General features: G+C 52.9%; 5 annotated features.

Moving 5' to 3' along the window:
• Positions 6,038-6,197: an enhancer, noted in NCBI's record as "active region_25602". NCBI's record gives its function as "activates an Ori minimal core promoter by ATAC-STARR-seq in GM12878 lymphoblastoid cells {active_cell/tissue: GM12878}" and the evidence as "EXISTENCE:reporter gene assay evidence [ECO:0000049][PMID:35858748]".
• Positions 7,589-7,678: a silencer, noted in NCBI's record as "silent region_17924". NCBI's record gives its function as "represses an Ori minimal core promoter by ATAC-STARR-seq in GM12878 lymphoblastoid cells {active_cell/tissue: GM12878}" and the evidence as "EXISTENCE:reporter gene assay evidence [ECO:0000049][PMID:35858748]".
• Positions 10,057-10,556: an enhancer, noted in NCBI's record as "H3K4me1 hESC enhancer chr7:5626381-5626880 (GRCh37/hg19 assembly coordinates)". NCBI's record gives its function as "activates a minimal SCP1, AML or CMV promoter by ChIP-STARR-seq in naive H9 embryonic stem cells {active_cell/tissue: H9 hESC(naive)}" and the evidence as "EXISTENCE:reporter gene assay evidence [ECO:0000049][PMID:30033119]".
• Positions 15,232-15,281: an enhancer, noted in NCBI's record as "active region_25603". NCBI's record gives its function as "activates an Ori minimal core promoter by ATAC-STARR-seq in GM12878 lymphoblastoid cells {active_cell/tissue: GM12878}" and the evidence as "EXISTENCE:reporter gene assay evidence [ECO:0000049][PMID:35858748]".
• Positions 15,512-15,591: an enhancer, noted in NCBI's record as "active region_25604". NCBI's record gives its function as "activates an Ori minimal core promoter by ATAC-STARR-seq in GM12878 lymphoblastoid cells {active_cell/tissue: GM12878}" and the evidence as "EXISTENCE:reporter gene assay evidence [ECO:0000049][PMID:35858748]".

A 15,738-nucleotide genomic window follows, 5' to 3' on the forward strand; every position in this document is an offset into this window, starting at 1 on the left:
CGAGGTGGGCGGATCACGAGGTCAGGAGATCGAGACCATCCTGGCTAACACGGTGAAACCCCGTCTCTACTAAAAATACAAAAAAAATTAGCTGGGTGTGGTGGCGGACGCCCTAGTCCCAGCTACTCGGGAGGCTGAGGCAGGAGAATGAAGTGAACCCAGGAGGCGGAGCTTGCAGTGAGTCGAGATCGCGCCACTGCACTCCAGCCTGGGCGACGGAGCGAGACTCCATCTCAAAAAAAAAAGAAAGAAATTTGATGTCACTTGTTTATCTTTACTTAAAAATTTTTTTAACTTTTAGGCTGGGCTTGGTGGCTCACACCTGTAATAACAGCACTTTGGGAGGCCGAGGCAGGTGCATCACTTGTGGGCAGGAGTTCGAGACCAGCCTGGCTAACATGGTGAAACCCTGTCTCTATTAAAAACACAAAAATTAACTGGATGGGGTTTCACCATGTTGGGCAGGCTGGTCTCGAACTCCTCTCAGATGATTCTCCCTCCTCGGTCTCCCAAAGTGTTGGGACTACAGGTGTGAGCCACCATGGCGAGCTCTTGTTCTTTTTTTTAAGATGAAGTTTTGCTCTGTCACCCAGGCTAGAGTGCAGTGGCACGATCTCGGCTCACTGAAGCCTCCACCTCCTGAGTTCCAGCAATTCTTGTGCCTCAGCCTCTCGAGTAGCTGGGATTACAGGCATGTGCCACCATGCCCAGCTAATTTTCGTATTTTTAGTAGAGATGTCGTTTTGCCATGTTGGCCAGGCTGGTCTCAAACTCCTGACCTCAAGTGATCCACTCACCTTGGCCTCCCAAGTGGGAGGCCCACATAAGCCACTGTGCCCGGCCCCAATTAGGTTGTTTTTTTTGTTTTGTTTTGTTTTGTTTTTTGAGATGGAGTCTCTTTGTCGCCAGGCTGAAGTGCAGTGGCTTGATTTTGGCTCACTGCAACCTCTGCCTCTCAGATTCAAAGTGATTCTCCTGCCTCAGCCTCCCGGGTAGCTGGGACTACAGGCGCGTGCCATCATGCCTGGCTAATTTTTGTATTTTTATTTATTTTATTTTATTTTATTTTATTTTATTTTGAGACGGAGTCTTCCTCTGTTGCCCAGGCTGGAGTGCAGTGGCGCGATCTCGGCTCACTGCAAGCTCCGCCTCCCAGGTTCACGCCATTCTCCTGCCTCAGCCTCCCAAGTAGCTGGGACTACAGGCACCCGCCACCACGCCCGGCTAATTTTTCGTATTTTTAATAGAGACAGGGTTTCACCGTGTTAGCCAGGATGGTCTTGATCTCCTGACCTCGTGATCCACCCGCCTCAGTATCCCAAAGTGCTGGGATTACAGGCGTGAGCCACCGCACCCAGCCGGTTAATTTTTGTATTTTTAGTAAAGATGGGGTTTCACCATTTTGACCAGGCTGGTCTCGAACTCCTGATCTCGTTATTTGCCCGCCTCGGCCTCCAAAAGCCAAGTGGGTTTTTACAGTTCCATCTGTTTGCTCTATTAGGTCAGAAGATTGAGAATGGTAACTAAAATGGAAATTATGTGAAACTGGCCAAAATAGGTTGCAGTGAGCCAAGATCGTGCCACTGCACTCCAGCCCGGGTGACAGAGTGAGACCCAGTCACACACAAACACACACACCAACACACACAAGCCAGAATCAGTACTTACAGGTTTTCCTGAAATAAACTTAGGGCAGGGGCCACTGGTCAAATAAGCATTTTTTGCAGCTTTTTTCTTTTTTCTTCTTTTTTTGTTTCATTTTTTTTTGCAGCTTTTAAATGCTGCCCACCAATATTGTCTTATAAAAGAAATCAATTTGTTGGTTACCCGATGAGTCAAACTGTGTTCCGCGGTTAACTGAGTATTTCACTGAATTTCAAAGAACTGGTTTGTTATCAGATCCAAACCACAGCTCTCTTTTATCGTCACATCAGCAGCCATGATCTTTCCAGTTTTCTTTTTTGGCCTCTGGTGCCCCATCTTTGGTAATTATTTGTGGTTCATCTTTTGAAGTTTCTTTGAGTGGGGCCGCAAGAGAGATTTGATTACACGGAGTTGATTAACGGCAGCCTTCGTAGCAGTATTATCAGCAGGGTTGTTCCCTCTAGCTTCCATAGCGTCTAACCTTGAATGTCTGAGAATTTTGATAAAAGTCAAGGCCTGGTCACTGGACGGCCTCCAGTAAATTCTGTACGCAGGATCCATGTTTCATTTGATCTCCAGTGGAAGTGAGGAACGCCTTTGTTTCTTTGTTTCTTTTCTTTTCTTTTTTTGTTTTTTTGAGATGGAGTCTCACTCTGTCACCAGGCTGGAGTGCGGTGGCGCGATCGCAGCTCGCCACAACCTCCACCTCCTGGGTTCAAGCGATTCTCCTGCCTCAGCCTCAGGAGTAGTTGGGACTTCAGGTGCCCGCCACCACACCCGGCTAATTTTTTTGTATTCTTAGTAGAGATGGGGCTTCGCCATGTTGGCCAGGCTGGTCTCGAACTCCTGGCCTCAAGTGATCTGCCTTGGCCGCCCATAGTGCCGGGATTACAGGCGTGAGCCACCATGCCCAGCCAAAAATGAAATTTTCTGTGCCCATATTCCAGCCGAGGAAGCCCAAGTTCCCACCGGGAGCGTCTACACGTGCAGCCGCTGTTATCTGTACCCAGGTAACATCCTCCAGCTCTTGGGGAGATCCAGCTGACCTCCAGTGTCCCCGTGCCCACACACGTGGCCAGGAGCAGCTGTCAACAAATGGCTCTTGGGTTGAGGCAGGAGTCCTCCAGATCCTTTGGCCCTAGCATGGGCTGACTGGGAGGCACGGCACCTGGAGTCTCCCACATGTCCCTGGCGGAATGAACGTTCAGTGGGATTCCTCATGGTAACTGGCTTGATAATGCACCCTCTGGGATCTGTCCCTTCCCTGTCCTATGTCCCTGTCCTCTACCTGAACCTTTTGTGTGGAATGGCACCTCAGGCCCGGCCTCTGGGGGATGAAGATGGTGTTAACTGCATTCAAAGCCTCCCTCTTGTCACCCACGATACACTTTCTGCCCTGGCAGGGGGACAGGAGGTTCCTTGACGGCTAGTCCAGGCCATGACGGGTTGATCCTGGATTAAAATAAGTCAAGCTTCAGGCTGGTGCAGTGGCTCACGCCTGTAGTCCCAGCACTTTGGGAGGCCGAAGAAGGCAGATCACCTGAGGTCAGGAGTTCAAGACCAATCTGGGCAACATGTTGAAACCCCATCTCTACTAAAAACACAAATATGGCCGGGCGCGGTGGCTCACGCTTGTAATCCCAGCACTTTGGGAGGCCGAGGCGGGCGGATCACAAGGTCAGGAGATCGAGACCATCCTGGCTAACATGGTGAAACCCTGTCTCTACTAAAAATACAAAAATTAGCCGGGCATGGTGGCGGGTGCCTATAGTCCCAGCTACTCAGGAGGCTGAGGCAGGAAAATGGCGTGAACCCGGGAGGCGGAACTTGCAGTGAGCCGAGATCGCACCACTGCGCTCCAGCCTGGGCGACAGAAGCAAGACTCTGTCTCAAAAAAAAAACAAACAAAAAAAACCCACAAATATTAGCTGGGCATGGTGGTGCATGTCTGTAATCCCACCTACTGGGGAGGCTGAGGCAGGAGAATCTCTTGAATCCAGGAGGTGGAGGTTGCAGTGAGCTGAGATTGTACCTCTGCACTCCAGCCTGGGTAACAGAACAAGAGTCTGTCTCAAAAAAAAAAAAAGAAGTCAGTCGGGCACGGTGGCTCACGCCTGTAATCCCAGCACTTTGGGAGGCTGAGGCAGGTGAATTGCCTGAGCTCAGGAGTTCGAGACCAGCCTGGGCAACACGGTGAAACCCTGTCTCTGCTAAAATACAAAAAATAAGCTGAGTGTCACGGTGTGCACCTGTACTCGAGCTACTTGGGAGGCTGAGGCAGGAGAATTGCTTGAACCCGGGAGGCAGAGGTTGCAGTGAGCCGAGATCGTGCCACTGCACTGCAACCTGGGCAACAGAACAGAGTGAGACTCCATCTCCAAAAAAAAAGGAGTCAATCGTGTCAATCGTTAGGGAGCTGGTGGATTTATAGCCTGTAGTGACCACATCAGTGAGGCACTGGTGCTGGGAGGCACCTCAGAGGTCATCCCATTCAACCCCTTCACTGACTCACAGCTCAGAGAGGGCAAGAGACTTACCCAAGGGCACACAGCAAGTCGAGGGCACCAGCAAGGTCAGCACCCAGGTCTCCCGCACCTGGGCCCACGTGGTTTTCAGTCTGGAAACTGGAAATGGATATGAAGCCTTGGAAAATCCCAGCAGGGCAGGATGGGGGTGGCCCAGCTGTTTCACTATGGAAACAAAAGTCTTGTTTTCCTGGCTACTCCAGCGGGGCCGGGACGGAGGCAGATGTTTCTCTTCACCTGCCAGGAAAGTTTGGAAATTAAGCCCTCCTTGCAGGGAGGAAGGGACCCAGTGCTCTGGATTTTCAATTTAATGGGCTACCCAGGTCTTCGGAGTGCAGCCAGGGAAGCACAGAGGAAGCGCCCTGGAGAGGAAGCCAGAGATTTCCTGGAGGCGCCAGGGATGCAAGGAGTGGCCTGGAGAGGGAGTGAGGGAAAAGCAGCAGACGCCCCTAACTTCCTCCTCCTCCTTCCAACAGAAACCTGGTTTGGGGTTTTAGTGGAGACGTCTCGCCATGGCCGCCAGTGTAGACATTAATTGGTCTAATGCAGGCACCAGGTCCCCGGCTTCTTGCAGGGAGGGGCATGGTTTTAGGACAAGGCATGGCTTTAAAATAAAAAATTAATTGTTGTAAAATATGCATAGCATGACCCGGCATGGTAGCTCATTCCTTTAACCCCAGCACTTTGGGAGGCTGAGGTGGGAGGATCAGGTGAGCTCAGGGGTTCGAGACCAGCCTGGGCAACATGGTGAGACCCCGTCTCTACCAAAAATACAAAATTTAGCCCGGTGTGGTGGTGCATGCCTGTAGTCCCACCTAGTCGGGAGGATGAGGTGGGAGAATCACTTGAACCTGGGAAGTTGAGGCGATTTTTTAAAAAATTAATACTCTAGGCCAGGCATGGTGGCTCACGCCTGTAATCCCAGCACTTTGGGAGAGGCCGAGGCGGGCGGATCGCCTGAGGTCAGGAGTTCGAGACCAGCCTGGGCAACATGGTGAAACCTGGTCTCTACTAATAATACAAAAATTAGCCGAGCATGGTGGCATGTGCCTGTAATCCCAGCTACTTGGGAGGCTGAGGTAGGAGAATCACTTGAGCCTGGGAAGTGGAGGTTGTAGTGAGCCGAGATCGCACCATTGCACTCCAGCCTGGGGCGACAAGAGCGAAACTCTGTCTCAAAAAAAAAAAAAAAATCATAATACTCTTTTTTTTTCTTTTGAGATGGAGTCTTGCTCTGTCACCCAGGCTGGAATGCAGTTGCAAAATCTTGGCTCACTGAAACCTCCGCCTCCTGGGTTCAAGTGATTCTTCTGCCTCAGCTGCCCAAGTAGCTGGGATTACAGGCGCCCACCACCACGCCCAGCTAATTTTTGTATTTTTTTAAGTAGAGATGGGGTTTCACCATGTTGGTCTCGAACTCCTGATCTCAGATAATCCGCTGGCCTTGGTCTCCCAAAGTGCTGGGATTACAGGCATGAGCCACCATGCCTGGCTGAGGCAATTACTTTTTGCAGAGACAGGGTCTTGCTATGTTGCCCAGCCTTGTCTTGAACTCCTAGACTCATTCAATCTGTCCATTTTGGCCTCCCAAAGTGCTGAGATCGACCACGACCACACCTGGTCATAACTGGCTTTCTTTATATTCATATGCATTTTATCTTGTGCATTTAAAAACTTGATACTGTGAGAAGGTTCATAATTTCTCAAAAGTCTGTTTTAGATAGTGCTGGGGAGATGTGATGTCTGGAGCCCTGGCAGCTGCCTTGAGATTCTGAGGACCTGAGCCTGAAGGCAGAGTTCACCTGACAGGGAAGGCAGAGTGAGAAGTGGGGGAAGTTCCAGGGTCCTTTCCAGCTCTGTTACAGTGAACCAACCCTGGAAACTCCCCTCTTTGGGGCTTCTTGTTTCTTGCTATAATGAAACATCTTGCTGGTTAGCCAGTTGAGTTAGAGTTTTCTCTTTCTTGCATTTGAAGCTACCATGACTGCAAGAGGGAGTTCCCGAAGGGGTCTGGGAATGGCCCAGGGAAATAGGGGTGAGGTGAGACTCCACTGCCCCGACAGTGCCCATGTATGAATTAGAAAAAGTGGGCCAGGCGTGGTGGCTCACACCTGTAATCCCAGCATTTTGGGAGGCTGAGTGGGCAGATCATGAGGTCAGGAGTTCGAAACCAGCCTGGCCAACATGGTGAAACCCCATCTCTACTAAAAATACAAAAATTAGCTGGGCTTGGTGGCACACATCTGTAGTCCCAGCTACTCAGGAGGCTGAGGCAGAAGAATCGCTTGAACCTGGGAGGTGGAGGTTGCAGTGAGCCGAGGTCATGCCACTGCACTCCAGCCTGGGTGACAGAGTGAGACTTTGTCTCAAAAAAAAAAAAAAAAAAAAAAAGAAAAGAAAGAAAGAAAAAGAAAAAAAGTGGGCCAGGTGTGGTGGCTCATACCTGTAATCCCAGCACTTTGGGAGGCTGAGGTGGGAGGATTGCTTACAGCCAGGAGTTTGAGACCAGGTTGGACAACATGGTGAGACCTTGTCTTTACAAAAAAATACAAAAACCTATCTGGGCATGGTGTTGCATTCCTTTAGTCCCAGCTACTTAGGAGGTTGAGGTGGAAGGATCACTTGAGTTAAGGGAGGAGACCACCCCTCATATTGTCTTATGCCCAATTTCTGCCTCCAAAGAAAGAAAAAGTAAAAACTAAAAGGCAGAAATGAAAACCACAGGCAGACAGCCCAGCGCCACACCCTGGGCCTCGTAGTTAAAGATCGACCCCTGATCTAATCGGTGATGTTATCTATAGACTACAGACATTGTATAGAAATGCACTGTGAAAATCCCTATCTGGTTTTGTTCTGATCTAATTACCGGTGCATGCAGCCCCCAGTCACGTACCCCCTGCTTGCTCAATCACGACCCTCTCACGTGCACCCCCTTAGAGTTGTGAGCCCTTAAAAGGGACAGGAATTGCTCACTCGGGGAGCTTGGCTCTTGAGACAGGAGTCTTGCTGATGCCCCTGGCCAAATAAACCCCTTCCTTCTTTAACTCGGTGTCTGAGTTTTGTCTGCGGCTCATCCTGCTACAGAGTCTAGGAGGCAGAGGTTGCAGTAAGCCAAATTCACGCCACTGCACTCCAGCCTGGGTGACAGAGCAAGACCCCACCAAAAAAAGAAAAGAGGCCAGGCGCAGTGGCTCACGCCCAGCTAATTTTTGTACTTTTAGTAGAGACGGGGTTTCACCATGTTGGCCAGGCTGATCTCAAACTCCTGTCCTCAGGTGATCCGCCCACCTTGGCCTCCCAAAGTGCTGCGATAACAGGAGTGGAGGCTCAACTTTTTAAAGAAGAAAAGGACGAATCAGGACAGGAGACAATTACAAGCTCTGTTCATTCGGAATTCTCATTGGCTTACAGAAATAACTTTGGCTAGTGATTGGTTATATGTTGTAGACAGACCCACAGGGTGGATGGCGTCTGTGGCCACTTGGGCATTAGCTGGTCCAGAGCCCAGAGTCCATGTAGCAAGTAGCTTCAGGACGTAATTATTTAGCTCAATAGAAAGTGAGATGTGACTGCTGTTACTTTTTTTTTTTTTTGAGACGGAGTTTCACTCTTGTTGCCCAAGCTGGAGTGCAATGGCGCGATCTCGGCTCACTGCAACCTCTGTCTCCCAGGTTCAAGTGATTCTCCTGCCTCAGCCTCCCGAGTAGCTGGGATTACAGGCGTGTGCCACCAAGCCCGGCTAATTTTTGTATTTTTAGTAGAGACAGGGTTTCACTATGTTAGCCAGGATGGTCTCGAACTCCTGACCTTGTCATCCACCGGCCTCGGCCTCTCAAGGTGCTAGGATTACAGGCATGAGCCACCACGCCCGGCCTTTTAACTGCTGTTACTTTTTTTTTTTTAATCATTTTTATTCTGCTAGTTCCATAAAAGCAATGTAAACACCAGCATTCTATACATCTTGCTGGTGAACTCACATAATGCTTAGTTCCCTGATCCTTTGACCTCCTTGTCTTCTCCAGTTATTTTCTGTTTGGACCACTGGCCACAGGAATGGAGTGGGGTTGGGGCTTAGGAGAGAGCAATGTGGCTTTTTGGTATGACTTGTTTCATTGACTGCTGTTACATTTTAAATGCCTTTCTGGGCCTGATAATTTAAGGGGGCTGGCATTTCTCACATCAAAGGGCAAAGGGTTTTTTTGTTTGTTTCTCACTATTGCTCAAAAGCCACATGTGTCAAGGACAGCTCTTGTTAACGGGCAGAGAAGCTTATAGAACCTTTCCAGGGCTGGCGCGGTTGTTCATGTCTGGGGGACAAGAGCGAAACTCCATCTCAAAAAGAAAAAAAAAAAAAAGAACATTTCCAGGCCAGGCACAGTGGCTCACACCTGTAAGTCCCAGCACTTTGGGAGATTGAGGTGGGAGGATCACTTGAGGCCAGGAGTTTGAGACCAGCATAGGCCACATGGCAAGAACCCAGTTTCTACAAAAACATTTTTTTTTTAAATTAGCTGGGCTCGGTGGTGCACACTTGTGGTCCCAGCTACTCGGGAGGCTGAGGTGGGAGAATCGCTTGAGCCTGGGAGGCGGAGGTTGCAGTGAGCTGTGATCGCACCACTGCATTTCAGCCTGGGCAACAGAGGGAGACTCTGTCTCAAAAAAAATCAAATAAAGAAAAAAGAACATTTCCATTATTGCAGAATGTTCTATTGGACGGCGCTGGGCCAGATGCCTGCCCCAAGCCCTGGGACACCCAAACCTGGTGAAAGTGCCAAGCTCCCATCTGGGGGTGCTCACGGAAGGGGCCGGGAGCTGGGATTACAAGCGTGGAGGCAGGCGCCACCCCAGAGGAGGTGGGTGATGTCTGAGCCAGAGTCTTTGGGATGAGCAGGGCTTTGGCAGGCAGCTTTGTTGGGCAGGCAACAGGCACAGCAGGTGCAATGGCATCGAGGTTGGAGAGGTGGACTGGCGGGGAGAAGAGAAGGGAGGGTGGCAGGAGAGATGGGCAGAGGCCCCCCAGGAGCCCAGAGCCTTCAGGGCTTTGGGCCCTCTTGGGGCACTGGGGAGCCACGGGAGAAGTGTGGGGTGGAGAGGGGCGCCCTGGATTTGACCACCTTCAGGAACCTACCTTGGCTGCCCGGGTGGGTGGGATGGAGGTGATGAAGGTGGAGGTCGTAGCATTGTCACTGAGAGCGATGCTTATTCTGATTTTTGCCCCCGTGAGCCTCAGAAATCGGTCAGAACAGTGCTCGGGCTGGGCGTGGTGGCTCACGCCTGGAATCCCAGCACTTTGGGAGGCCGAGGCGGGCGGATCACCTGAGGTCAGGAGTTTGAGACCAGCCTGGCCAACATGGCAAAACCCCGTCTCTACTAAAAACACAAAAATTAGCTGGGTGTAGTGGTGCATGCCTGTAATCCAGCTACTCCAGAGGCTGAGGCCTCCCTGGGAGGCGGAGTGCAGTGAGCCAAGATTGTACCACCGCCCCTCCAGCCTGGGTAACAGAGTGAGACTCTGTCTCAAAACAAACAAAAAAGAACAAACCAAAACCAGTGCTCCAATTCACCTTGCTGAATTGGAGAAGAACAGGTGCCTGGGTCCTCCCGGCTGACGGTGACGTCACTATGAGCCACCACGCCTGGCCCGGTGGGTGTTTACAGCAGAGGTGGTTCAGGGAGGAGTGAGTGGCAGATGGTGCAGGCTCAGGGAGGAGTGAGTGGCAGGTGGGGCCTGAGGCCAGAGGCAGGAGGACCGTTCAAGACTGAGGTGTCTTGGGCACTGGTGCCGGGGCCGGGGAGAGCCCTGGCATGCCGGGCCCCGGCCCTCAGTGAAAGCAGGATGAGGTGGCGGCCAAGCAGGGAGGCCAAGGCCTGGCAGCAGCCGGCAGCCCCTCTCCTGGCAGGGACATCTTGGCAGGAGCCGGGCTCTGCCCAGGGCGCTAATGTCCTCTTAATTAGCCAGGCACTTGCCAAGCACTTGCCGCTGCGGCCTCACTTTGCAGAACGCACTTGGGTTTGGAGCAGGACCAGCATCGGCCACCGGGTGAGTAGGGGGGATGGCCAGGTGAGTACCATGGCCAGAAGGTGCGGCCTCTGAGTCCCCACTGAAGCCAATCCAGGCCCCGACCTCTGGTCATCATCAACAGAAGAGTGACAGAAACAGAAAAGATATCAAGGAACACGTTTTCAGGGCCAGATTCCAGGTCCCCCACCTATTTTCCTTTGCTCCTGCCTTGCCTGGCTCTGCCCCCTTGAACTCTTATTCACCCAGTGTAGGCATCACCTCCTCCTGAAGGCCCTCCTGGACTGCACAGTTAACTCTGGAGCCTCCCCTGCACAGGGCAGCTCATGTATGGATCCACAGGTGAGTTCCTGTCTTTGAAGGGTTACAGTTTAGGTCCTGGAGCAGTGGTGGGGAGGTCACACCTCCACCCACATCCCTCTTTGCAAATCCCATGGGAACTATGAGCCTGGGTCCCCCAAACTGCATGTTCCCCACTTAAAGCTGGGCCAGATCCTGTTTGCTGTATCCAGGCCTCAGTTTCCCTGCTTGTAACCAGAAGTCCATGCAGCCAGAAATTGTCAGGGAGCTGGGCACGGTGGCTCATGCCTGTAATCCCAGCACTTTCAGAGGCTGAGGCAGGAGGTTCACTTGTGATCAGGAGTTTGGGACCCCAGCCTGGGCAATACAATGAGATCCCTGCCTCTACCAAAAAATTAAAAACAATTAGCCAGGCCTGGAGGCATACACTTGTAGTCCTAGCTATTCAAGGGAGGCTGAGGTGGGAGGATCACTTGAGTCCAGGAGTTTGTGGCTGGGGTGAGCTCTGATTGTACCACTGCACTCCAGCCTGGGTAAGAGAATGAGACCTTGTTTTATTTTATTTTATTTTTATTTATTTTGAGATGGAGTCTCACTCTGTCACCCAGGCTGGAGTGCAGTGGTGCAATGTCGGTTCACTGCAACCTCTGCTTCCCGGCTTCAAGAGATTCTCCCGCCTCAGCCTCCCAAGTAGCTGGGATTACAGGCGTGTGCCACCACGCCTGGCTAATTTTTTGTGTTTTTAGTAGAGACAGGGTTTCACCATGTTTGCCAGGCTGGACTTGAACTCCTGACCTTAGGTGATCCATGCCCCCTTGGCCTCCTAAATTGCTGGGATTATAGGCATGAGCCACCGGGCCTGGCCGAGACCCTGTTTTAAAAAAATTAATCAGGTCCAGTGCGGTGGCTCACGCCTGTAATCCCAGCACTTTGGGAGGCCGAGGAGGGCAGATCACCTGAGATCGGGAGTTCGAGACCAGCCTGACCAACATGCAGAAACCCCGTCTCTACTAAAAATACAAAATTAGCAGGGCGTGGTGGCGCACACCTGTAATCCCAGCTACTTGGGAGGCTGAGGCAGGAGAATCACTTGGACCTGGGAAGCAGAGCTTGTGGTGAGCCGAGATTGCACCATTCCACTCCAGCCTGGGCAAAAAGAGTGAAACTCCATCTCAAATAATAATAATAATAATAATAATAATAATAATAATAATAATTGGTAGAGATGTTGGTAGAGGCAGGACAGTGGGAGTGACAGCCTGGTCCTGTCCTCCCGGGCTCTGGCTGACCATGCTGTAGTGTGGCTCAGGGCCCTGGAGGGCACAGCTGTCCTGTGGCCCTGTGGTCAGCCGGGAAGCCAGGCCTGGCAGGACTCCTGCCCTAGAATCAGCTCCTCCCACTCCCCAGGGTCCCATGCAGGGCGCTGGCCGTACCAGGCCTCCTCGCGGGTGCCACAGAGCCAGCGGCTGCACAGCAACAGAGACGCCATTCACAGGCTCTCGGCCACGAGGCCGCTCATTTACAGAGGGCTGAGCCGCTGACATCTGTGCGTTTGTAACATGGACAGCATTTCTGGTCCCATACAGACGCCTGGGCCAGCCACATTTATCTCCCCTTGAGAGAAGGGAAACGAGGCTCGGGAGGGAATGAGGGATTGGCTTGGGGTCACACAACTTTAATGATGACCCTGGGCAGGAAGCTCCCAGGATGGCAACAGAGACTCAGGGCAGGCTGGGCATGGTGGCTCACACTTGTCATCCCAGCCCTTTGGGAGGCAGAGGTGCAAGGATCACTCGAGCCCAGGAGCTCAAGGCCAGCCTGGGGAATATAGTGAGAACCCATCTCTAAAAAAAAAAAAAATAGGCCGGTCGCGGTGACTCACGCCTGTAATCCCAGCACTTTGGGAGGCTGAGGCGGGTGGATCACGAGGTCAGGAGATTGAGACCATCCTGGCTAACACGGTGAAACCCCGTCTCTACTAAAAATACAAAAAATAGGCCGGGCGTGGTGGCTCATGCCTGTAATCCCAGCACTTTGGGAGGCTGAGGCCGGCGGATCACGAGGTCAGGAGTTCGAGATCAGCCTGACAAACATGACGAAACCCTGTCTCTACTAAAAATACAAAAATTAGCCGGGCGTGGTGACACGCGCCTGTAGTCCCAGCTACTCAGGAGGCTGAGGCAGGAGAATCGCTTGAACCATCGAGGTGGAGGTTGCGGTGAGCCGAGATCGCACTACTGCACTCCAGTCTGGGAGACAGAGTGAGACTCCGTCTCAAAAAAAAAAAAAAAAATTAGCCGGGCGTGGTGGCGGGCGCCTGTAGTCCCAGCTACTCGGGAGGCTGAGGTAGGAGAATGGCGTGAACCCGGGAGGCGGAGCTTGCAGTGAGCCGAGATCGCGCCACTGCACTAAAGCCTGGGCAACAGAGCGAGACTCTATCTCAAAAAAAAAAAAAAAAATTTAGCCGGGCATGGTGGTGCATGTCTGTACCCCCAGCAATTTGGGAAGCTGAGGTGGGAGGATTGCTTAAGCCCAGGAGTTTGAGGCGGGAGTGAGCTGTGATGGCACCACTGCACTCCAGCCTGGGTGACAGAGTGAGACCCCGTCTCTCCCTATCCCCCGCAAAAAAAAAAAAACAACTCAGGGCTTTCCCACCCCTGTCCTTGCACAGATGAAGAACCGAAGCTTCTAGAAGGGGTATATTTTGCCCCCAGGCCCCAAATCCTGGTCTTTGGACTACAGTCAAGACCTAGCACAGGGCTCAGGCCTAAAAAAAAGCTGTTGAGGAGGGTGTGAGGCTGCAACGTTGCGGTGAGAAGGGGGTCCCCAGGGAGGGCGCAGCAGGAAGCCCCAGGGAAGTGCCTGGGAGAGGGAGGTTGTGCAGCCAGAAGGAGCAGCCCGCAGCCTTTGGTTGTTGACTCCTGCTTTGTAAGTGGCAGTCTGGTTGGGTAGGACAGGGTCCGAGTCCTCACTCAGGGAACTGAGTCCAGGGTGAGCTGAGCAGCCCTTCCTGGTGGCCTCACTTTCCCCTGCAGAGCCTGCTGCATGGTGTCCAGTGGCCAGCCTGGGAGGAGCTCAGGACTGGCCTCACCTCGTGCCACGCCCTCGTACCAAGGTGGCTCAGATGGCACCTGGGTTCCCGAAGGGCCCAGGAACACAGCGTCCATGTCCCCATCCTTCCCCGGAGGGACTTGGGGTGGGGCCTGCAGGAAGGATCATGTGACTTGTTCAAGGGCAGCTTGTCCTGCCCCGGACACAGAGGTGCCCATCGTAAGCGAGATGCAGGCAAGGTGAGGACAGGGCATGGTGCCGAGCAGGAATGATTTTCGAAAATGCTACTCTGTGGTCGGGCACGGTGGCTCACTCCTGTAATCCCAGTACTTTGGGAGGCCCAGGCGGGCAGATCATGAGGTCAGGAGTTCAAGACCAGCCTGGCCAACATGGTGAAACCCCTTCTCTACTGAAAATACAAAAAACTACCCGGGCGTGGTGGTGGATGCCTGTAATCCCAGCTACTCAGGAGGCTGAGGCAGGAGAATCGCTTGAACCCTGGAGGTGAAGGTTGCAATGAGCCGAGATTGCACCACTGCACTCCGACCTGGGCGACAGAGAAAGACTCCGTCTGAAAAACAAACAAACAAAACCCCGAGATTCTCTTTTCCCCCGTCCGGAGCTCTATGGCCATCTGGAGCTCGTTCTGTCCACAAGGACACATTTCCTGGCAGCAGCTGTGGACCAGGGCTCACTCACTCACATCTGTACCCAATCTAGAGCAGGACAAACACCTATCACCTGCACTGGCAATGGACAGAGGACAGTGGCAGCCCCATCACCAGAGGCATTCAAGCCAAGGCATTTTCTATCGTCTATTTATCTATCTATCTATCTATCTATCTATCTATCTATCTATCTATCTAGATGAGATCTTGCTATGTTGCCCAGGTTGAACTCCTGGCCTCAAGCGATCCTCCTGCTTCAGCCTCCCAAAGTGTTGGGATTTCAGGTGTGAACCACTGTACCTGGCTGGAGTGCAGTGGCACTGTCATAGCTCACTGCAGCCTCCACCTCCTGGGCTCAAGGAATCCTCTTTCCTCAGCCTCCTGAGTAGCTGGGACCACAGGCATGCACCATCACACCCAGCTAAACCTTGATTTTTTCCATAGTATATGGCTCAGGGCAGAGCAAAGAAGCACAAAAACATGTTGGCTTGCGGTTGAGGGCTGATGGGAGGGGGTTCTGGCCAAAGCCCAAAATTAACAGCCACAACGTCAGTGTCTGTGGGAGGGGTTGCCAGGGGCGTGCGGGTTCTGGGGCTCAAGGCCCTGCCGGTAAACCCATTTGAAGCAGGATGGCAAGAAGGTGACACCATCTTCCCCCGCGCACTGAAAGCCCCTGGCTGGGATTGCCTGGGGCAGACACAGGCTCGGACCAGCCCCAGCAATCCCAGTTTATCAGCGAGCCGGCTGAGGGCCCGGAGTTATCTCAGTGCCCGGCCTGAGACCTTGTGGGCAGCCTGTGGTCATGCTGGCATTCCAGGGGCCTTTTGGCATGTGGGGAATGTCCAGGAAAAGCCTCAGCCTTCGGTGAGGCGCAGAAAAGGGAAGTGTCCCTAGAGGGGGTGGGTGAGGGCGTGGGAGGTGGTGTCTGCAGGGAATGTCCCCTTTGGGGGAGGAGGATGGAGGGTTGGGATTCTGAGGATGGGGGGGGGGGCTGTAGCCAGCACCATGTCCCTCCTGTGTGACCAGCTCAGAGTCCCATGAAATTGGGGCTTGGGAGGGGAAGGGACACTGGCCTGGGAACCAGAGACCTGGGCTGGTCTGGCTCACAGTTGCTGGACCTCTGTGATCCGTGTCAAAAAACGAGAACACCAATTCCTGTCCTGCCCACTCACCACCAGGTGGGACCTGAACCCTGGCATCGCCAGCATTGGGAATGTCGGCCACTGACTCAACCACTCTCCCGGAGACCTATTTGGGCCACCCGAGGCGGGTGCCTGGGCCACACGGAGGGGTCCTGGTGGTCTTCAGGGCAGCGGCTGTGGGGCTGAAGCCTCAAGGAACCACATCTCTGCATAGGAGGGCCAGGCTGCAGGGCCTCGGAGACAACCTAGTTGGGCGTGTTGGGGTCTGTGGGTCCCAGGTCCTGGCCTCACCGGGTCCCCACCGCGCTGTCAGCTCCCAGCCTCTTTCCCTCGTCTGCCTCTGGGCTTCTGTAAGGCTATGTGCTCCAAGGCCACCTCCTCCAGGCAGC

The sequence above is a fragment of the Homo sapiens genome, chromosome 7 (assembly GCF_000001405.40).
Source record: "Homo sapiens chromosome 7, GRCh38.p14 Primary Assembly".
Classification (NCBI taxonomy): domain Eukaryota; kingdom Metazoa; phylum Chordata; class Mammalia; order Primates; family Hominidae; genus Homo; species Homo sapiens.